The sequence below is a fragment of the Homo sapiens genome, chromosome 3 (assembly GCF_000001405.40).
Source record: "Homo sapiens chromosome 3, GRCh38.p14 Primary Assembly".
Taxonomy (NCBI): Eukaryota; Metazoa; Chordata; class Mammalia; order Primates; family Hominidae; genus Homo; species Homo sapiens.
Genome location: NC_000003.12, coordinates 195,887,766 through 195,907,699, shown reverse-complemented (window position 1 = coordinate 195,907,699; position 19,934 = coordinate 195,887,766). Strand labels below are relative to the sequence as shown.

At 53.9% G+C, this 19,934-nt stretch overlaps 1 protein-coding gene across 68 annotated transcripts in view, besides 9 other annotated features; it reads left to right on the top strand.

Annotated features, from left to right (window-relative positions):
• The window catches only part of TNK2 (tyrosine kinase non receptor 2), a 45,188-nt gene that overhangs the window by 852 nt on the left and 24,402 nt on the right, over window positions 1-19,934 (top strand). For 16 of the 68 annotated variants that reach the window (NR_170692.1, NR_170690.1, NR_170681.1 and 13 more), the window contains exon 2: window positions 19,094-19,274. Coding sequence is in view for 53 of the 68 variants with exons in the window: in XM_047447162.1 (XP_047303118.1) it covers window positions 19,094-19,274 (181 nt within the window). In the remaining 15 variants the exon portion in view is untranslated. Of the gene's footprint in view, window positions 1-2; window positions 1,407-6,937; window positions 9,476-10,393; window positions 10,534-10,924; window positions 10,958-11,402; window positions 11,648-11,757; window positions 11,806-12,351; window positions 12,455-12,963; window positions 13,095-13,336; window positions 15,290-15,692; window positions 15,789-15,811; window positions 18,341-18,921; window positions 19,018-19,093; window positions 19,275-19,934 lie in introns of those variants that run through there. The other 52 variants (NR_170678.1, NR_170688.1, NR_170683.1 and 49 more) reach the window with 20 other exon arrangements.
• Window positions 606-835: an enhancer, noted in NCBI's record as "active region_21062". NCBI's record gives its function as "activates an Ori minimal core promoter by ATAC-STARR-seq in GM12878 lymphoblastoid cells {active_cell/tissue: GM12878}" and the evidence as "EXISTENCE:reporter gene assay evidence [ECO:0000049][PMID:35858748]".
• Window positions 886-935: an enhancer, noted in NCBI's record as "active region_21061". NCBI's record gives its function as "activates an Ori minimal core promoter by ATAC-STARR-seq in GM12878 lymphoblastoid cells {active_cell/tissue: GM12878}" and the evidence as "EXISTENCE:reporter gene assay evidence [ECO:0000049][PMID:35858748]".
• Window positions 6,636-6,795: an enhancer, noted in NCBI's record as "active region_21060". NCBI's record gives its function as "activates an Ori minimal core promoter by ATAC-STARR-seq in GM12878 lymphoblastoid cells {active_cell/tissue: GM12878}" and the evidence as "EXISTENCE:reporter gene assay evidence [ECO:0000049][PMID:35858748]".
• Window positions 8,289-8,969: an enhancer, noted in NCBI's record as "H3K4me1 hESC enhancer chr3:195625602-195626282 (GRCh37/hg19 assembly coordinates)". NCBI's record gives its function as "activates a minimal SCP1, AML or CMV promoter by ChIP-STARR-seq in naive H9 embryonic stem cells {active_cell/tissue: H9 hESC(naive)}" and the evidence as "EXISTENCE:reporter gene assay evidence [ECO:0000049][PMID:30033119]".
• Window positions 9,799-10,598: an enhancer, noted in NCBI's record as "H3K27ac-H3K4me1 hESC enhancer chr3:195623973-195624772 (GRCh37/hg19 assembly coordinates)". NCBI's record gives its function as "activates a minimal SCP1, AML or CMV promoter by ChIP-STARR-seq in naive H9 embryonic stem cells {active_cell/tissue: H9 hESC(naive)}" and the evidence as "EXISTENCE:reporter gene assay evidence [ECO:0000049][PMID:30033119]".
• Window positions 11,236-11,455: an enhancer, noted in NCBI's record as "active region_21059". NCBI's record gives its function as "activates an Ori minimal core promoter by ATAC-STARR-seq in GM12878 lymphoblastoid cells {active_cell/tissue: GM12878}" and the evidence as "EXISTENCE:reporter gene assay evidence [ECO:0000049][PMID:35858748]".
• Window positions 11,596-11,875: a silencer, noted in NCBI's record as "silent region_15042". NCBI's record gives its function as "represses an Ori minimal core promoter by ATAC-STARR-seq in GM12878 lymphoblastoid cells {active_cell/tissue: GM12878}" and the evidence as "EXISTENCE:reporter gene assay evidence [ECO:0000049][PMID:35858748]".
• Window positions 12,086-12,145: a silencer, noted in NCBI's record as "silent region_15041". NCBI's record gives its function as "represses an Ori minimal core promoter by ATAC-STARR-seq in GM12878 lymphoblastoid cells {active_cell/tissue: GM12878}" and the evidence as "EXISTENCE:reporter gene assay evidence [ECO:0000049][PMID:35858748]".
• Window positions 18,777-19,540: an enhancer, noted in NCBI's record as "H3K27ac-H3K4me1 hESC enhancer chr3:195615031-195615794 (GRCh37/hg19 assembly coordinates)". NCBI's record gives its function as "activates a minimal SCP1, AML or CMV promoter by ChIP-STARR-seq in naive H9 embryonic stem cells {active_cell/tissue: H9 hESC(naive)}" and the evidence as "EXISTENCE:reporter gene assay evidence [ECO:0000049][PMID:30033119]".

Below are 19,934 nucleotides of genomic sequence, written 5' to 3'. Positions count from 1 at the left end.
AGGGCTTGTAGGGGCCAAGGGTGGGGGCTGTATTTGGCTTGTTGACTCCCTCGTGGCCTGAGTGCCAGACCTACTCATTCCGCCTCGTGCCCCCAGGGGGCTTGGCGGGCTGCTTGTGGGCCTTACTCTCCTAGAGCTGTTCGCCTCTTACCTGGCACTGTCAGGTGCTTGCTTCCCCTGCCCCTGGGTGGGGATGGGTGCAGGGTTGCTGCTTGCCCAGGGCCTTAGCTAGAGGACCCTCCTCTGCCCCAGCCCGAGGTGTGGCTGTGAGTCAGATGGACCCAGACCCCTGTCCCGAACCAGACTGGGTGCTCTCCTCTGGGGGCAGAGGGAGTGGTGCTGGAGGTAGCAGCTGCTGGAGGAGCCGGTTAGCCCGCTCCTCAGACAAACTCAAACCCGCCTGTCAGCTTCATCCCATGCCTGTCGCGCTGCCACCCAAACACTCATGCACCGGAAGTTCAGCTGCTGTGCCCACGGTGCCTGACGCTTCTGGAATGGCCAGAGTGGCTCTCACTGTCTGGCTTCAGTGGAGAGAACGGTCTGTTTTAAACACATACACACAATCTTCACCTACTTATTTCAGGTCGGCGTTTTTGAACTTGTGGTAGATGAATGGGAGAAAGGCCTTGGCATCACACAGATTGCTTTTGATCTGGTTATATCGCTTACAAGCTGTGTAACTTCCTTGGGCAACATAATGTCTTTAGGTTTCAGTTTCTTGGTGTCTGCGGTGGGCCAGGACTTCCCCTGCAGTGTCGTGAGTAAAGAAACCTCAGGCCCTTTGGAGCCTGGTGCCCACCTCCCCGGAGCCCCGGCAGATGTTAGGGAGGAAGGGTCAGACTGTTCCCTCTGGCCCCTGAGCCCGGGATTAGCCCCCACCTTGTGCTTCGTCTAGAAGATGCAGTGTTTCTTTTTGTTTGTTTTAAATAACAGTTTTATTGAGATATAATGACATATGGTAAACTGAGCATATTTAAAACACACAATTTAATAAGTTGTGGCCTGTGTATATACCCGTGAAACCACCCCCACCTTCAAGATAGTGAACATCCCCCTTATTCCCCTGTCCCCAGAAGTTTTCTTGTGGAACCCCTCCATCCCCCGCTCCTCTGCCATCCCCTACCCCAGGTAACAGGCTGGTCTACTTTCTGTCACTGTGTCTGAGTTTGCAGCATTTACTGTAAACGGAATCGCGTCTTTCATTCAACAGAAGTATTTTGGAGTTTGTCCAGGTGGTTGCGCGTATCAACAGTCATTGTACACGTGTGCCAAAGTCTGTTTATCCATTGACCTGTTGATGGGTTTTCAGAGAAAGCTGCTGTGAACGTGTTTGTTAGTCTTTGTGTGGATGTACACTTTTATTTATCTTAGGTAAATCCCTAGGACCGGAATGGCTGGGTCATGTGGTAGGTACACATTTAACCTTTAAGAAACTGCCAGACTGTTTTCCAAAGTGGTTGTACATTTTATATACTCATCCACTGTGTATGAGAGTTCTGGTTTGTCCATGTCTTTGATATGTCCACATCTCGATGTGGTCAGTCTCTAATTTTAGACACTCTCATGTCTGTAGTGGTATCTCATTACAATTTTAATTTGTATTTCCTTAATGACTCATGTTGTCGGGCATCTTCTCATGTGCTCATTTGCCATACGTATGTCTTTGGTGCTGTGTCTGTTCAGATCGTTTGCCCATTTTTAATTGTGTAGGGTTTTTCGTGTTGAGTTCTGAAGAGTTCTTGATATATTCTGGATATAAGCCTTTTATCAGGTATGTGATTTACAAATCTTTTTTCCAGCTTGTGGCTTTGTATTTTGATCCTCTTAACAATGTCTTCTAAAAAATTCTCATGATCAGTAGTGCAAAATGCTGTGTTTTTGAAGAGAAGTTGTAAATTTTGATTAATTTACTAATTTGTTACTTTGTGGATTGCATTTTTGGTGTCATGTCCAAGAAATCTTTGCCTGACCCAAAGTCCCAACAGTTTTCCCCTGTATTTTCTTGTAGACATTTTATAGTTTTGGGCTTTACATTGAGATCTAGGATTCGTTTGGGGTTAATTTTTGTTACGTGGTGCAAGGTATGAATCAATGTCCAGTTTTTTGCATGTAGAGATCTAATTGATCTAGTAGCACCATTTATTAAAAAGATGTATCTCTCCACTGAATTGCCTTTGAATCTTTGTCAAAAATCAATTGCTGGCTGGGCACGGTGGCTCACTCCTCTAATCCCAGTGCTTTGGGAGGCTGAGGCGGGCGGATCATGAGGTCAGGAGTTCAAGGCCAAGCTGGTGAACGTAGTGGAACCCTGTCTCTACTAAAAATACAAAAAATTAGCCAGGCGTGGTGGCGGGCACCTGTAATCCCAGCTACTCAGGAGGCTGAGTCAGGAGAATCGCATGAACCCGGGAGGCGGAGGTTGCAGTGAGCCAAGATTGCGCCACTGCATTCCAGCCCGGGCGACAGTGTGAGACTCCATCTCAAAAAGAAAAAGAAAAAAATCAATTGTTTGTGTGTGTCTAATTCTGGATTCTGTTTTGTTCCATTGATCTATTTGTCTGTCTTTATCCCAGTATCACACTATCTTGATTACTGTGGGTTTATAAACTATAGTAAGTCTTGAAATCAGGGTAAGATCTCAAACTTGGTTTTGTCTTTTCAAAATTGCTTTAGCTATTCTGGGTTCTTTGCACTTCCATATACATTTTAGAATTAGTTAGTCAATTTCTACAAAAAAGCCTGCTGGGATTTTGATTGGGATTATGATCAATTTGGGGAGAATTGATCGGTTAGCAGTATTGAGCCTTCTGACCATGAACAGTGTATATCTCTGTATTTGTCTAGGTTTTGTTTACTATCTCTCAGCAGTGTTTTGTAGTTTTTGGTATATCAGTCTTTTCCATCTTTTATTGAACATATCCTTAAATAGTACCTATTTTTATGCTATTGTAAATGATACTGGTTTTTCCTGGTAGTATTGGTTTTTTATTTTTAAAAACTTTTAATTGTGGTAAAATATACATAATATACTGCCATTGTAACCATCTGCAGTGGTGGTAAATACATTCATACTGTTGCACAGCCGTCACCAGCATCCATCTCCAGGACTTTTCTCATCTTGTGAAACTGAAACCGCACCTATTAAACAGTAACTTCCCATTCCCTCCTCTCTCAGCCCCTGAGAACCACCATTTTACCTTCTGACTCTATGAATTTGGCTCCTGTAGGTGCCTCATAGAAGTAGAATTTTACAGTGTTTGTGCTTTTGTGCCTGGCTTATTTCACCTCGGCCTAGCGTATTCAAGGTTCATTTACATTGCAGCATATGTCAGAATTTTCTTCTTTTTAAAGGGTAAATAATATTCTATTGTATGAATATACCACTTTTTGTTTATCCATTTACTTGGATTGCTTTCACCTTTTTTTTTTTTTTTTTTAAAGACAAGGTCTCACTCACTCTGTCTCCCAGGCCGGAGAGCAGTGGTGTGATCATGGCTCACTGCAACCTCGACTTCCTGGGCTCAGGTGATCGTCCCACCTCAGCCTCCTGGGTAGCTGGGACTACAGGTGTGTACCACCATGCCTGGCTAATTTTTTTTTGGAATTTTCTGTAGAGACGGGAGTTTGGCATGTTGCCCAGGCTGGTTTCCAACTCCTGGCCTCAAGCGGCTTTCACCTTTTGGCTGTTGTCAGTAATGCTGTTATGAGATGGTACCGTTGTTTAAACTTTACTTTCCAGTTGTTTGTTGCTAGTATATGTAAATACCATTGATTTTGTATTTTGAGCTTGAATCCTGCAGTCTTGCTAAATTGACTTATTCTAGCAAGCTTTTTTGTAACTTCCTTTGGATTTTCTACATAGGGCGCCGTGTCATCTGCTAATAAAGTTTTACTTCCTCCTTTCTGATCTTTATGCCTGTTGCTTCTTTTTCTTGCCTGATTGCCCTGGCTGGATCCTCTGGTATAATGTTATTGTTTTTTTGAGATGGAGTTTCATGCTTGTCGCCCAGGCTGGAGTGCAGTGGCACAATCTTGGCACACTGCAACCTCTGCCTCCTGGGTTCAAGCGATTCTCCTGCCTCAGCCTCCTGAGCAGCTGGGATTACAGGCACCCACCACCACACCCGGCTAATTTTTGTATCCTTAGTAGAGATGGGGTTTCACTATGTTGGCCAGGCTGGTCTCAAACTCCTGACCTCAGGTGACCTGCCCGCCTCGGCCTGCCAAAGTCCTGGGATTATGGGGGTGGGCCACCAAGCCCAGCCTCATCTAATATAATGTTGAATAGAAGGGTAGATACCTTGTTTCTGATCTTCCAGGGGATGCATTTAGTCTCTCACCATTAAGAGTGGTGTTAGCTGGCCGGGCGCGGTGGCTCACGCCTGTAATCCCAATACTTTGGGAGGCCGAGATGTGCAGATCACGAGGTCAGGAGATTGAGACCATCCTGGCTAACATGGTGAAACCCCGCCTCCACTAAAAATACAAAAAATTAGCTGGGTGTGGTGGCACATGCCTGTAGTCCCAGCTACTTGGGAGGCTGAGGTGGGAGAATTGCTTGAACCTGGGAGGTGGAGGTTGCAGTAAGCCGAGATGGCGCCACTGCATTCCGACTCTGTCACAAAAGAAAAAAAAAAAGTGGTGTTAGCTGGCCGGGTGCGGTGGCTCACGCCTGTAATCCCAGTACTTTGGGAGGCCGAGGTGGGTGGATCACCTGAGGTCACGAGTTCAAGACCAGCCTGGGCAACATGGTGAAACCTTGTCTCTACCCAGAATACAAAAATTAGCCGGGTGTGATGGTATGCTCATGTAATTCCAGCTACTTGGGAGGCCGAGGCACAAGAATCGCTTGAACCCAGGAGGTGGAGGTTGCAGCGAGCCGAGATTGCGCCACTGCACTCCAGTCTGGGTGACAGAGCAAAACTGTCTCACAAGACAAAACAAAACAAAAAAAAGTGGTATTAGCTATAGGTTTTTCATATCTGACCTTTACCAGGTTGCAAAAAGCTCTCTTTTATTCCTACTTTGCTGAGAGGTGTTTTTTTTTTTTTTTATGTTTGTTTTTTTTTGTTTTTTTTTTTTGAGACGGAGTCTTGCTCTGTTGCCCAGGCTGGAGTGCAGTGGTGCAATCTCGGCTCACTGCAACTTCTGCCTCCTGGGTTCAAGCAATTGTCCTGCCTCAGCCTCCTGAGTAGCTGGGGTTACAGGCACATGCCACCACGCCTGGCTAACTTTTGTATTTTTAGTAGAGATGGGGTTTCACCATGTTGGCCAGGCTGGTCATGAACTCCTGACCTCAAGTGATTCGCCCACCTCGGCCTCCCACAGTGCTGGGATTACAGGCGTGAGCCCCCGCGCCCGGCCCTTACTGTCTCTTAAATAACTTTTCAGTAATCCCCTGTATTTTAGCATTGCCCTTCTGACACTCACCTCTTCTTCCAGAGGTTTCCGGGGCTGCCAGTTCCTGGGCTTTTGAGGATTGCAGGCGGTCAGTCAAGTGTCTCTCACGCTGGGATTTGTGATTTTCTTGGGTCAGCTCTCAACTGCCACCAGCCCATCTGCTTTCCAGCTTCCAAAGTTCTGTGGTGGTTTTTCCTCTACCATTCTCCCCCTCCCTAGGGGCCTATGGCATTCAGAACATCCTTTTTTAATTGTTGTTCTGGTGAGGTTTCAGGAAGGAGTGACACTGTGTGGAATCTACTGTTTTTTCCTGGAACCCCTGTCCCTTCTTCAGACTTCCTCACAGAATCCATGCATTCACTCAGCGTCAGTGAATGACATGGTATCCACTCAGCGAGTCCAATGTGGGTCATAAGACTTCCGCGGGGACCTCCATGGGCCCGCATCCTTGTGCCAAGCAGTACAGTCGTGAATGGGCTGAATGCTGGCTTTACCTTTTACTCTCTGGGTGCTCTTGGCCACCTCTCCAGAGCTGGTTTCCATATTTGTAAAGTGGGGATAATCTGGGGTAGTAAGGCAGGTTTTTGGTCAGCCAGTGAAGGTACACTCTCAGTGAAGAGCTGGCGCATAGTGTCTTCCTGAGGACCCAGGCTATGACTTCTGCCCCTTCATATTCTCCCAGAAACCAGCATCGGGTGGGCATGTGGGGTGCATGGTGGGTGTCTAAGGAAGGTGAGAGGGGAGGGAGGTTTTCCTGGTCCCTCTCTTCCTCCTCAGCAGCTGTACCTCCTGGGCCCCCCAGCTGGATGTAACAACATTGGACTCTTCTGTTTCCCTCTGTCCCCTGTATACTGTGTCTGCCAACATTGGACTCCTCTGTTTCTCTCTGTCCCCTGTACACTGTGTCTGCCAATGAAGCAGGGCCTCTTCTCTGGTACCCTGACCTTGGCAGGGCTCTCCCCCTACCCTGTGGCCAGAAGAGAGTCACCCTTCCGCTAACATTTGCCCTCCCCCAGATCCTGAGCCTCCATGAGCCTCCATTCCCGATGACAGCTTCCTGGTACCTTGGACCAGGCACGCCCCTTCCCCTTTGAGGGTCCCGGGCTCTTCAAGGTCAGATGGTGAGCAGGGTCCAGTGGGATTTAAGGTGTATGTCTTGAAGCACCGGACATTTCTCTGGCTCCCAGGCTCTCCTGGGCCCTGCGGCCTGCTCTAGGTGACATGTTCCCAGCTCCTGGGTCTTGGTGTAGACATGGTCCTGAGGGAATGAGCAGTGTATCTTGTAGACTGAATGTTCACTTCCCAGCTCTGGCATCTCCTCTCCACTCCTTCTTTCCACACTCCACCTCCAGGGCCAACAATAGGCCCCTTCAGCTCTGGACTCTTGCGTAGGGCTTGGGGGTGGGGTATGGCCTGAGCTGGCAGCAGGCAGGATGACGAGCCGGGCAGCCTCTGCCCAGCCCTGGAAGAGCTCTCTCTGGGAGTGGCTAGCTGCTGGGAGCTAGACCACATCCTTCCCTCTGGGCCCCCGTGCCGTGACAGTGCATGGGCAGGACAGGCAACGAGAGGCAGCTCTCTGCGGCACTCGTGTCCTGGCCTCGGCACCTGGGCATGTGTGGCGTGCATGGGAGTGAGACCCAGACAGCTGCAGCAATGTGTCCTCTGCCACCCACTGCTGCTGGTGTCTGTGTTGGGGAGCGATGGTCCAGGAGCACATTAGGGCCCTCAGTGTACTGTCTCTTTGTGTCGGCGTTGACACTCCGGTCTTCAGCTGGCGGAGCATGAAACGGTTTCACAGTACTTTCAAGACTTGATACAGATGGATGCTCTTGTCTCCACGTGTCAGCCCCACCAAGTCCAGTCAGCCTCAGGTTCAGTGTGGACTGGGTCACGCTGTTTAGTCAGATCCTCACCCCTCCTCTCTCAAGTGACATTCCCTTCTCCACTGGAGTTGGAGGGGACGAGGCATAGCAGGGCCCTGCCTGGTGTGTCTGCCTCTGCCTCTGTGCTCTGCCCTCCCACCCTGGCACCTGCCTGTTCCCCTCCTCTCTCTCGGTGAGCTGGGATCCTGACAGACCCAGGCCCCCTTCCCATCACCCTGTGTGGCAGCCCGCGCCCCAGCACCCCTTCGCAGTCCGATGAGAAGGCACCTTCCTTAAGACCAATGTCAGGCTCTCCCTCTGCCTGAGGGACTGGCTGAGTTGTTCTGGTTCTGAGATGGCTTTGGGGGACTGAGTTGCTTAGTGGGTCTGGGGTCGGAGTGGTTGTGATGACATGGACAGCCCCTCTTCCCAGAAAGGTGCTGGCGTCTCTGGATTAGAAATCATGGGGGGAGGCAAAGCCGGGGCTGGGAGAGGGCAACCAGGCTTGTTCCTGGCACCCACTGGGAAAGCAACCTGGCAGCAGCTCACGGGGGAAGAAGCAGCCACCGTTCTCCAGTGTTCCTCACAAAGACTGAGTCCTTCTCAGCAGACACACCCAGGGCCCCTGCCAGGTTCTCCCTTCAGGGCGACAGATGTGGACAGATGGTTCCCTTACGATGTACAGACCACAGCAGAGGTATACAGACCGCTCCTTCAGCACAATTATGTGCTGATACAAAGAGTTACAGGAATAGTGACCCTTTAAGGATAGGAACGTGATGGATAATTTAAACTTTTTAAAATTCTTGGCCGGGCGCAGTGGCTCACGCCTATAATCTCAGCCCTGTGGGCGGCTGAGGTGGGCGGATCATGAGGTCAGGAGATCGAGACCATCCTGGCCAACAGGGTGAAACCCCGTCTCAACTCTACTAAAAATATAAAAATTAGCTGGGCGTGGTGGCGCACACTTGTAATCTCAGCTACTTGGGAGGCTGAGGCAGGAGAATCGCTTAAACCCGGGAGGCAGAGGTTGCAGTCAGCCGAGATCGCGCCATGGCACTCCAGCCTGGCAACAGAGCAAGACTCCATCTCAAAAAAAAAAAATTATTTTGGCTATTTTTCACATGTATTATTGTGTAGTTTTACTACTCATGTTTTCAAGCATCCCTCCAACAAAACAGCAGAGATAACCATTTGTGGCTAGGAAATGGGAATTTACAGAAGAGATGGCATTTGACTTGGATCTTGAGGAGTGTGTGGGAGTTTATCATGTAGACACAGTAGAAGTGTCACAGACAAAAAATAGCTCAGACATTAAAATTATTTTTTTATTATTTATTTATTGAGACGGAGTCTCTCTGTCGCCCAGGCTGGAGTGCAGTGGTACGATCTTGGCTCACTGCAACCTCCGCCTCCCGGGTTCACGCCATTCTCCTGCCTCAGCCTCCCGAGTAGCTGGGACTGCAGGTGCCCGCCACCACGCCCGGCTAATTTTTATATTTTTTAGTAGAGATGGGGTTTCACCATATTGGCCAGGCTGGTCTCGAACTCCTGACCTCAGGTGATCCGCCTGCCTTGGCCTCCCAAAGTGCTGGGATTACAGACGTGAGCCACCGGGCCCAGCCGCAGACATTAAAATTAAAGGGCATCCGGACATGGTGGCTGGTGCTTGTCATCCCAGCTACTCAGGAGGCTGAGGTGGGAGGGTCACTTGAGCCCAGGAGTTCAAAATTAAAATGAGCCATGGTCACACCACTGCACTCCAGCCTGGGCAACAGAGCAAGACCCAGTCTCTTAAAAACAAAAAACAAGAAGAACCCCAGAGTATGTCTAGGGAAGGGCAAACACTTGGCTTGGCTGGGACATAGAGACATTTGAAGGGAATGCTAAGAGAGAGAGGTGGGGAACTAGGTGAGGAGTGCAGCCCAGAGGGCGTGCGTGCCAGCCAGGATTGGGCCCTCGAGGACTGAGGGAAGGGCCCATAGTAACAGCAGGCAGCCAGGTGCCGTGGTGGACTCTTCATGACAGTTTTATGATGGGGATTCCATTTTTCCCCTCTTTACAGATGAGGAAATTGAGGCTTAGAGGTTGTTTGCTCAAAAGTTGCCCAGCTGGAGCGTGATGGAGTCAGGATTTCAGCCCCCATCTGCCTGACTCCTGATCTCATTGTCACCGTTGGGAGGAAGTCTGAGGCGGTTGAAGCAGCCCGACCGGTGTGTCTGGTGGAGAAGGTGGAGGACGGAGGAGGAGTCTTGGTTGGGGGTCCGTGGTGGGGTGTGGTTTCTACCTCGGGTGGCTAGTGTTGGCTTGTGATGTTTTCAGCGGGATACAGGAGCGCAGAAGCAGAGTTTAAGGGGTGATGCTGAGCCCAGTTTGGATATGCAATGTGTGGTACCTGTGCAGCCTCCTGGTGGAGCTGCCCTGTAAATGTCTGGAAATGCGGGTCTGGAGCCACAGGAATTCAGGAATGGAGATAGCACAAGGTGGTAATAGGAGTCCCTGGAGGCATAGGTGACCCCAGGGAGCACAGCATCAGTGGAGAATAGAAGGAAACATGAGTTCAAAAGTCTTAGGAAATACCAACAGTTAAGAAGCTGGGGGCGGGGGGTGGGGGGGGGGTGGGGGGGTGAGGGGGTGGGCAGGCGCAGTGGCTCATGCCTGTAATCCCAGCACTTTGAGAGAGCAAGGCTGGTAGAATGCTTGAGCCCAGGAGTTTGAGACCAACCTGGGCAACATGACGAAACCTCATCTCTACAAAAAATACAAAAATTAGCTGGGTGTGATAGTGCACGCCTGTAATCCCAGCTACTCAGGAGATGGAGGCAGGAGGATTGCTTGAGCCTGCGAGGCAGAGGTTGCAGTGAGCCAAGATCGCACCACTGCACTCCAGTCTAGGGCACAGTGAGATCCTATCTCAAACAAACAAACAAAAAACATGTGGGGTGAAGAGGCTTCAGGGCTGGACCATGGGCCTAGCACTGCCAGCAGACACAGCCTTGCCTGCCCTCAGGACCTCAGCTGCCAGGCCCCCCTGGGAGGGAGTGGGCCCCCGTGTCCTGGAGATGGAGAGACTATGGACAGTCATGGCGTGTGTCTGAATCACTCCCTTTTCTTTCTTGGGCCCTGGCCAGCCTCCTCCCCAGACCAGTGTGATGTCAGGCCCAGCCGACCTGAAGGTGCAGGGTTGCCTGGTGCAGGTTCCTCTGGGATGAGGTTCTGAGGGCACCCAGCCTGGCCTTGCTCCAGAAGCCTGGGCTCTGCGCACAGAGGGGTGAGTTAAGGCTGACTAAACTTGGTGGGGCTGACATGTGGAAGCAAGATAATCCTCTGGCTGGGGGAGGAGCTGTAAGCCCCCCTCTCCTCATCAGTATGTTCTTTTTTCCTTCAGGGCTTGGAGAAGAGGTAGGTGGAGGTGGGAGAGGGCGGGCTGGGAGGTAGGGTTGGCATATATTCCTGAGAATACGGTAGATTGTTTTGGAAAAATCCTCTTGGCCGGAAATTGCCTGTCATGTCTGCGCCTTGGTGTGGATTTGTCACTTCGCATGCAGTTGGAGAGGCTGGAGAGGGGAATGGACAGCAGAGCTGGGCTGGTTTCCAGCCTCTTGTTTCCTTTAGCTCTGCAGAGTGGAGATATAAAGAGACAAGTGAAGAGCAGAGGGGGTGTACACGTGGGGTGGATTCTCGAACTCCTAGAGGTAGTTTAGATCCTGTGGATGTCTTACGATAGGATGGTACTAGGACGCCAGAGATTTACAGGGGGAGGTGAGGCAGGGAGAAAGCAGGAAAGGGCACTGGTTTGGATCAGATCCTTTATCCAGCCAGGGCAAGAAGGGAGGGGCCTGGTATTTTCTGCCTTGCCTTCTACAGTCTCCCGGCTTTGCAGCTACTCCCAAGACTAGTATGTGCCTTTAGCTGCAGTAAGATGCCGAGGAGCTTCTGTACAGCATAGAAGCAGGCGTTCGGGGGCCTCGCCGGCAGTCATCCACCTACCCTGGTGTGCTTGGGGTGTGGAAGGGGCTGTGTGAGGAGAGTGGGCCGTAGAGGGAGCCTCACCTAGTGACCTTCCAGGGTCTGGCTCAGCCTTGACGCTGCGTGGGGAGGAGAGGTCACAGCATCTGTCTCTCCTCTGCCCCAACCCAGGGAAGGTGCCCTGAGCTCAGCCCTAAATACCTGGTACTAAAGAGTCAGTGGCTGCTTCAGATGCCACCAGAATGAGAAGCGGTGCCTTGGGGCCCCGGGGGAGAGGAAGAGCCTCTGCCCTGGGACTTCCTGTGCCGGCGATGGCCTCGCGCCAGTGCTGGGCGCGGCACCCCCGCGTGGGCCTGTGTTGGGCGGCTTTTGAGCAGGAGTCCGGGCCCTCGTGTCACCGCTCTGAAGTCAAGGAGGTCAGTGCGTGCCCAGCGCACAGCGCGTGCGGCGTTGCGGGAGTGGCGCGCGGGGAACCGGCCGCGGGGGCCTCGGGGCGGGGGCGTGGCCTGCGCGGGAGGCGGGCGCTGGGAGGCGGCGCGGAGCCGGCTGAGCGCAGGGCCGAGCTGCGGGGCAGGTGGGCGCCCGGCGTTCTGGGAGCAGAGTGGCCGCCGGGGCAGGCTGGGGGCGGGGTGGGCTGCAGCCCCGGGATGCCTCGGAGGAGGGGGTCTCAGATGGAGTCGGACGGAGGCCCCTCTGCTGTGGGCTTCTCGGATGGCCCCTTACCGTGAATACGGGGGACTCGTGAATCCCCAAGGCCCCAGTTGGTGGCTCTGGGGCCCTGGAGGCGGGCTGAGGGCTGAGTGGAGCCCGGTTCCGCGGCCGGCGAAGGCAGAGCCCCGGCTCTCGGTGGGGGTCAGCCCGGGGCTGGCACAGCTGGCTCACTGGGAGAGGGTGGGAGCCGCGCCCCGGAGAGGAGGAACGGAGCTGGGACGGGCTGCAGGAGGGAATGGCCGCAGGCCGGCAGGAGGAGGGGCGCGACCACCCGGCCGCCGGCCGATGGCGGATGAGGCTATGGGGGCTGAGACGCAGTAGCGGCCCTGCACTTCTGGAGGATGCTCGAGGCCCGGCCCCCCAGGACGCAGGGCAGTGACGCTGCCGGTGCCGCTGCGGGGCGGGGGCTGCGGGCGCTGCTTCTCTCCCTGACCGCAGCCGCTGGGATTTGGGGCTCCATGGGGGAGAGATCTGCTTACCAGCGCCTGGCTGGGGGCGAGGAGGGACCGCAGGTAATGGGGAAGGCTAGGGGATAGCCAGATACCTGGGCCCCAGACCCCTTCGTCTGCTGTGAGCCGGGCTCAGCCCTGCCCCCTGCGGCGGCCTCAGGAGTGAGAGTGTCTGCTCCTGGGCCAGGGGACAGAGAGCGGTGTGTTTATGTGGGTGTGGCGGTGGTGACTTAGTGATGCTGGCATCTGCCTGTGTGTGCATGGATCCCCTGGGACCCCAAAAAGCTGCCCGTTGGGCTTTCTTCCATGCCCCAAGGGAGTCCAGGAAGTACTGCTAGGATTGGGGTTCAGTCTTTTAGGAGAACTGAGTCTGTATGTCCTGGGCATTCCCGTTTACTAGGCTTCTGAATATGAATATCAAGCCAGATGTCCTTGTTTGCTTTTGAAAATATGGTCACGGTGTTGATGGATGGGGTAGCTTCCCTTCCCCTTGGAGAGAACGCACTTCCTCTCCCGACCGGCAGAGGGCAGTAGCTGACAGGAGAAAGGGGGACTCGGTAGGAGCGTTGGGGCTTAAGGTCGGGCTGTTTTCCTGGGCGAGGAGAAAGGGGGCCGGGCCGGGCCGGGCGCGGTGGCTCACGCCTGTCATCTCAGCACTTTGGGAGGCCGAGGCGGGCAGATCACCTGAGACGAGGACGCTGAGGTCAGGAATTCGGGACCAGCCTGGCCAACATGGCGGAAAAAAAAAAAATAGCTGGGCACGGTGGCGGGGGCCTGTAATCCCAGCTACTCGGGAGGCTGAGGCAGGAGAATCACTTGAACCCGGGATCGCGCCACTGCACTCAAGCCTGGGCGATAGAGCAAGACTCTCAAAAAAAAAAAGGGGGTGGGGGTTCCAGGAGCCGGCCTGGCGCTGACCCACACATACTTTGCTTCTTCCCGCAGCTGGATTACTGGGCCAGTTACAGGTCTTGTTCTTACTGGACATCCAAGGTCAGGCATGGGGTTCTGGTGACTTTGAGACACATATTTCTGGGGACGCTAGAGTTTTTAATCTGGCCATTCTGATCCAGCAGACCCATTTTGAAATAGAGGGAATAACCCTGCTTAAATTGTTCCCCGGCCCCCGGTCCCTGGGTCTCCTTCCAGGTGTGCTTGGTGCCAGGGTAAGGCTGTAGGCTTCTCTGATGCAAGGGCACAGTCAGCCAAGGTTTGGGGAAAAGTCAGCTCCAGTGTAACGCAGGCCTGATCTTGTCCACCTGACCTCAGCCCCCACTCCATCCACACCTGCCATCTCCACAAGCTTTGTGGGCTGGATGGCAGGGGGATGAGGAAGAGGGACTGAAGTTGGGGGTGTCCTTCTCCCCACCTCCTGGAGTTAGACCAGGAAATGGCTGTCCCTTTTGGCATCATCAGGGAGGTCAAGTGCTGGGAGAGGCCCTGGGAAGGGAGCCTGGGATGCTGAGTCCCCAAAGCCCTGCTCCCCAGCTGCCCACCCCTCCAGCCAGCTGAGGCTCCCTGAGCTGGTGGCCAGCTGGACAGGGACAAGAGAGCAGTGTGCAAGAAACAGGGGCTCCCTAGGCATGGCTCAGCAGGGAGGGGGGTGCCTGGGGAGCTGGAGAGGGCTTCCTGCAGCTGTCAGGTGTGTCTGGGGGCCGTAGCGAGGGGGGTGTAAGAGCAGCTGGCACCCTTTGAGGAGGGCCAGAGAGATCATTTGTCAGTTCTAGAAACATGAGGGCCCCACGGGGGCTTGATGGAGTGTCTCTAGGCCCCTTAATCTGAGGCCGTGGTCTGTGTCAGGGGTTATACAGGAGACATCCTACAGCTTTGGGGTGGGGGCGTCCCAGCAGGAGTCTCAGGGCATATTTGTTTGTTTTGAGCGGGTTTGGGAACTTGGCCACCTGGTCTGAGTAGGAGGCACCCTGGGTGTTTGGGCAGCAGACAGGGCCACCCCAGGGGAGGGGGTGAGGATCCTCACCCCACCCTACCCTTGCTCTTGGCTGGACTGCCCCACTCTGGCAGGCTGCCGGCCGCCTATTTCCGTCGGGCACCAGGGTAACAGGGCCACATCAGGGTCTGAGCCAGGAGACACCCAGCCAAGGCTGGGACTCGGGGGTGGGGGAGGGTCTCTGAGGAGTCATCGCAGGGCCCAGCGGAGCCTCTGGGGTCCAAGCCTCCCACTCAGGCTGTGTGTTAGTCCCCACGTCCCCACACAGGTCCATGAGGGAGTCCACAGCCCTGCTTCATACGTGCTGTTTGAGTCACATAGCCGCCACCCTAAAGTCCCAGGAGTTGTCTGCAACTGTGAGGGCTGGGGTAGAAGCCAGAGACAGGAGCTTTGTGTATGGGGAGGCAGGGGGGCCAGCGCGGGTGGCTGGGAGGAAGAGTCCCCCCCATTCCTGCCGCCCTCTTGGCAGTGATTCAGAAAGGTCCTTTTTCAGCCAGTGTCAGAGCTGCTCAGCTGGGGAGGGAGGGAGAGAGGGAGAGAGAGAGGCAGGCAAGAGGGAGGGCGGCCGGGCGGGCAGTTGGGTGGGGAAGCCGGGGAGTAGGGCTGGACTGTGACCACTGCCCTGGAGAGAAGACAGAAACAGGACAGAGGATCCCGGCTGCAGCCAGCGTGAGGAAAGCTCTGCTCCCTGCCAGACCGGCCAGCTGTGGAAACCCAGCGGGGCTTGCAGCAGAGCGGAGGGGCCCACCCCGTTCTTCCTCATTTCCCACCCCTGGTGTGGGATTTGGGGGGCTCCTGGGCAGAGTGCGAAGCTCCGGAGCCGAGGCCACTGGATCCCCAGTGACTGCTCGGGGGGGTCCCGCTGCGTGGAGATGCCGGCAGCACGTCGGTTCCCTGGCCTGGAGCTCTCCTTCCCTCTCCTGGCCAGACTGCGGCGACGCCTGTACACAGTGAGTGGGGGGCAGGGGCTGGACTGCTGGGGACTGGTTGGGCTCCTCAGCACCAGCACTTGACTGAGAGGCAGAAAGCAAGACTGGGAGCGGCTGAGGGACCCCGCCAGTGAGGGCTTGACGGGGAGTCCGGGCCAAGTGGCCTCTCCTGCGGCTGCTGCATTCCTTCTTCTTGGCCTGTGTGTTTGCACGCCGGCCACAGAGTAGTGACGGACACAGGTGTGCAGACTCCATGAGGTGCGGGGGCCAGGACCATGCAGAATTGGAGAGTGTTTGAACTCTGGAGGAGCTGCAGCCATGCCCTGTGCTGCACAAAGAACCTTGGGCTGGAGGGGGACTTAGAGGGGAGGCGGACCCCTGCGGAGTCACCCTGGACTGAGACCCTGACCGCTTGCCTCACCAGCATCCCGGAGTTCCTTCCCGTCCTCCCACATGCATCCCCTGTGCAGAGCTGCGCTGTTGCTGGGTCAGGGAGCATGGAGTGCACAGCTGAACAGAGGTGCATTAGCTGGTGTTTCAGGGAGAGGGAACAGGCCGGGCTGTGCTTTCTGAAGAGCTTCAGGGGAGGGGCCTCTGGGTCTCCCCCAGCCCTGACCACCCCGGGCATGGCTTTGAGCTGTTTTCAGGAGCCTAGAGGAGGGGGCCTGGATCCTTGGGAGTTGGTGGTGGGAAAAAGAAGAGGAGCCCTGGAGACTGCTCTCCCTGCGGGAGACTAGGAGCCTCCATCCTGAGGCTGAGCCCTGGAGGGGGGGGGTCACTTTGCTCCAGGGACAGGGCAGCGGTGGCCGTGGCCGGGTGGAGAGGAGACGCTGCCTAGGCCCGTGACTCCTAGTGTGCCTCTGGGCTTGCTTCCGGAAAGCCACGACGCCTGGTCCTCTTAAACCCCACGCCTCTTGTTTTGTAAACAGATGATTTTGTTGAGGATAAATGAATACAGCTTAATACTTAGAACTGTTCCTCGCATATAGTAAGTGCAGTTGAAGTGTTAGATTTTATTTTATTTTGAGATGGAGTTTTGCTCTTGTTGCCCAGGCTGGAGTGCAATGGCACGATCTTGGCTCACCACAGCCTCCGCCTCCCGGGTTCAAGTGATTCTCCTGCCTCAGCCTCCTGAGTAGCTGAGATTACAGGCATGTGCCACCAGGCCCGGCTAATTTTCTATTTTCAGTAGAGATGGGGTTTCTCCATGTTGGTCAGGCTGGTCTCGAACTCAGGTGATCCGCCCACCTCAGCCTAAGTGCTGGGATTACAGCTGTGAGCCACTGTGCTTGGCCTAGATGTTATTTTTATTGTTACTTGTCTTAAATAAAGTTAATAGAAATATATAACCTGTTATATTAACATGTTAACCTGTGTACAGTGAAACAAGCAACACAGTGGGAACTCTAATATAAAGAGACATAAGAGGAAGGTAATAATATTTTATGTATCCTAATACGTTAGTAACCTAGACAATGTAGTGAGGAGTCAGATCTTGAGACCTCAGGTGGAAACACCGTGAAGGCAGCATCTGCAAGTGCTGACCGAGAGGGGAGTTTTGAAATAATGAGAGGGGGTTGCCTTCACTGACATTTTTGCAAATAGTGGACTTCTGCTATGTTCTGAATAAAGCAAAGTCCATTTTCCCTTAAGTTTACACAGTAGTTTCATTCCAGGAAAATTTATTTTATATTAAAACTGTAAGGCCAGGAGCAGTGGCTCCCCAGCACTTTGGGAGGCCAGGGCAGGTGGATCACTTGAGCTCAGGAGTTCGAGACCAGCCTGGCCAACATGGAGGAACCCTGTCTCCACTAAAAATACAAAAATTAGCCGGGCGCCTGTGATCCCAGCTTCTTGGGAGGCTGAGGCGGGAGAATTGCCTGAACCCGGGAGGCTGAGTTTGCAATGAGCCAAGATCATACCATTGTACTCCAGCCTGGGAGTCTCACTCTGTCTCAAAAAAAAAAAAAAAAAAAACCAAAAAACTATAAAAGTACTTTCTTATTTATATATAAAGTGGGATCATATTCTAGGTTTGCATGATCATAAACACCTTCATGAATTGAGTTGTGTGGGATTTGGGACAGTGCGAGAATGTCCTACGCATTGCAGGCTAGCTCACGCTCTTGTCCCCCAACCACCCACTGAATGTCACTAAGGCCCCCCCAAATGTTGTGGCAACCAGAACTGTCCCATAGGGGGCTGTGCAGCCTCATGAGAACCATTCCAGTAAAGGGTTACAGCTTTAAGTTTGGAAACCACCCGGCTGGCCCAGCTGCCTGGCCCGGTCGCCGAGGTGGAAGAGCCAGGATTTGAACTGAGAGTTTCTCATTCCCCTTTGTTACTCTTTGTACTTCCCTGAGCTGCCTGAAAAAGTCGGAACTGGCACTGTGTTGGCAGGGCCACTGGGAACTGTGGGGGCAGGAGGCTCACGCTGGGCCCAGGCTGTGTGTGCCTGCTTCTCAGTGCTGCTCACTGTGATGGGAGCTGGGGAGGAGGCCACCGCTGAGTGGGGGAGGGGGATGGCTTGGTCCCCAGCCGGGCAGCTGGCCTTTTTTCTCTCGCCTGTTCCTCTTTGGGGATTGAGCATGGGTCCGGGGCTAGCCTGGCCACGCCCTCAGCTCTGACACACCTTACGCAGACAGGGATGGGTTTGCTGTGCGGTGGGTCCGCTTGCTTAGCTTTGAAGGTGCCACCAGCTTCTTTATCTGGGCCCAGGATAGTGTAGGTCAGAGGTCACTCTCCGGTACCACTGGCTGATTGCGGCCTGCAGTGTGCTTTGGCCAGCACGCTGTGTGTGCGTGTGCATGCTTTTCAGATCTGAACTATTCAGCATTGTTAAAAAGTCAGGAGAAAGACGAATATTAAGTGAAATCAGGGAACAGAATGGTATGGTTAATGCGTGAATATTCGTGTAGGGACAACAGAGTCTGAAGCGTCCGCAGAAGACATCACTGGCAACTCCTGGGGAGCCGGGTGGCTGTGCAGCTGGGGAGGGAATGAGATTCGTGGCTCAGTGTGCCTTCTGAATATTTTACCACGTGCATATATTACCTTTTCCAAACTTTAATGGTGAGATTTCACATGTAAATTGGGATTTATTTCTTGAAAAAATGGAAAGCTTTGACAACACTGGGCCACAGTTTCTTCTGACAACCATTGATGGGATCTGAGCTCCCTGTTGACAGGGGTGTCTGCGAGCCCACCGCAGGCCCCACCCCTCCCTCCTGTCTTCCGCTTGCTGTGGCCCTGTAGGCACTTGAGTGGTGGCCCGTGGAGTGGTCTTTGGATTGTTAGGAGAGGCTGGGGTGGTCAGGCGCTGGGAGGAACTTAGCTTAGAGCTCATCTGACCCTGAGAGTTTTCTCCGTCACATCTAAGGAGCCCATAGATGGGTCTCGGGGCACATTGCACCCTAGAGATTTTTATCAAATATTAGGAGTAAGAACACGTCGGTGTTCCCGGAGAGACCACTGTTAGTTTTTAAAAGATTTTCAAGGACTTTCGACCCCTAGAAACTTAGAGCAGGAATGTGAGCACAGGTTGATCTTGGGTCACTCAGTCACAGATCACATTTCGGGAGCAAGACCCTGACTCCTGACTCCAGGGCCAGGGCTGTATCTCCGCCGCCCTAATTGTGCCCTGTGGCTGGCAGGAATAGGGGACGTGGGTCCAGGCGGTTCTCGGTAGCTTCCCTCGGGAGTCAGAAGGTGGTGTGAGCCCTTCCGGGTGGCCGTGTAGTGGGATGAAGGTGAGCCCAGGTCACTCGGGCAGGCCCCTGTTGTCCCCCCACAACCCTTGTCCCTGAGCCACTCCTCCCCCCACAGAGGCTGGGAGGCGGCAGAATGCAGCCAGAGGAGGGCACAGGCTGGCTGCTGGAGCTGCTGTCCGAGGTGCAGCTGCAACAGTACTTCCTGCGGCTCCGAGATGACCTCAACGTCACCCGCCTGTCCCACTTTGAGTACGTCAAGAATGAGGACCTGGAGAAGATCGGCATGGGTCGGCCTGGTAGGTGGGATGTTGGCCTGGCTTGTCTTGCCCCTGACCCTTTCCGTCCTCTGTCCTCAGGACCACTCGGTGCACGGGTGGCAGCTGAGAACTCTGTCCCAGAGCCCTGAGGGAGCAGGAGGGACATCAGTAGGTGCTGATGTGTGATGAGAACAGTTGGCAGTTATAAAGGTGAATTGGAGTTTGAGGAGAGTGAGGCCTTCCCTAAAGCTGGCTACACAGGAGTCACTCCATGCCCCGTTGTGATTGTTCTCACGTAGAGTGTATGTCCTCCATTGCCCCTCCTTCATAAGCATCGAATTGAGTCTGTTCTCATCATTCTGACTACCGGGGGGTCCATGTGCAGAGATCTGTAGGGAGAACGCTAACTCTCAGATGGTTTGCTGATTCGTGCTCACGCTCTCTTTCTTGCTCTCTCACACGCACACACGCATGCACACGCACAGGCATACACACACACACACACACACGCAGGCACACACGCACATGCGCACACACGTGCACGCACGCATGCACGTGCACACACGCATGCACGTGCGTACGCACGCGCTCACACGCCTGCGCACACAGACACGCACACACACACACACGTGTGTGCGCACACCCGCATGCACACGCACGGCATACACACATGTACACACACGCGCGCAGACGCACACA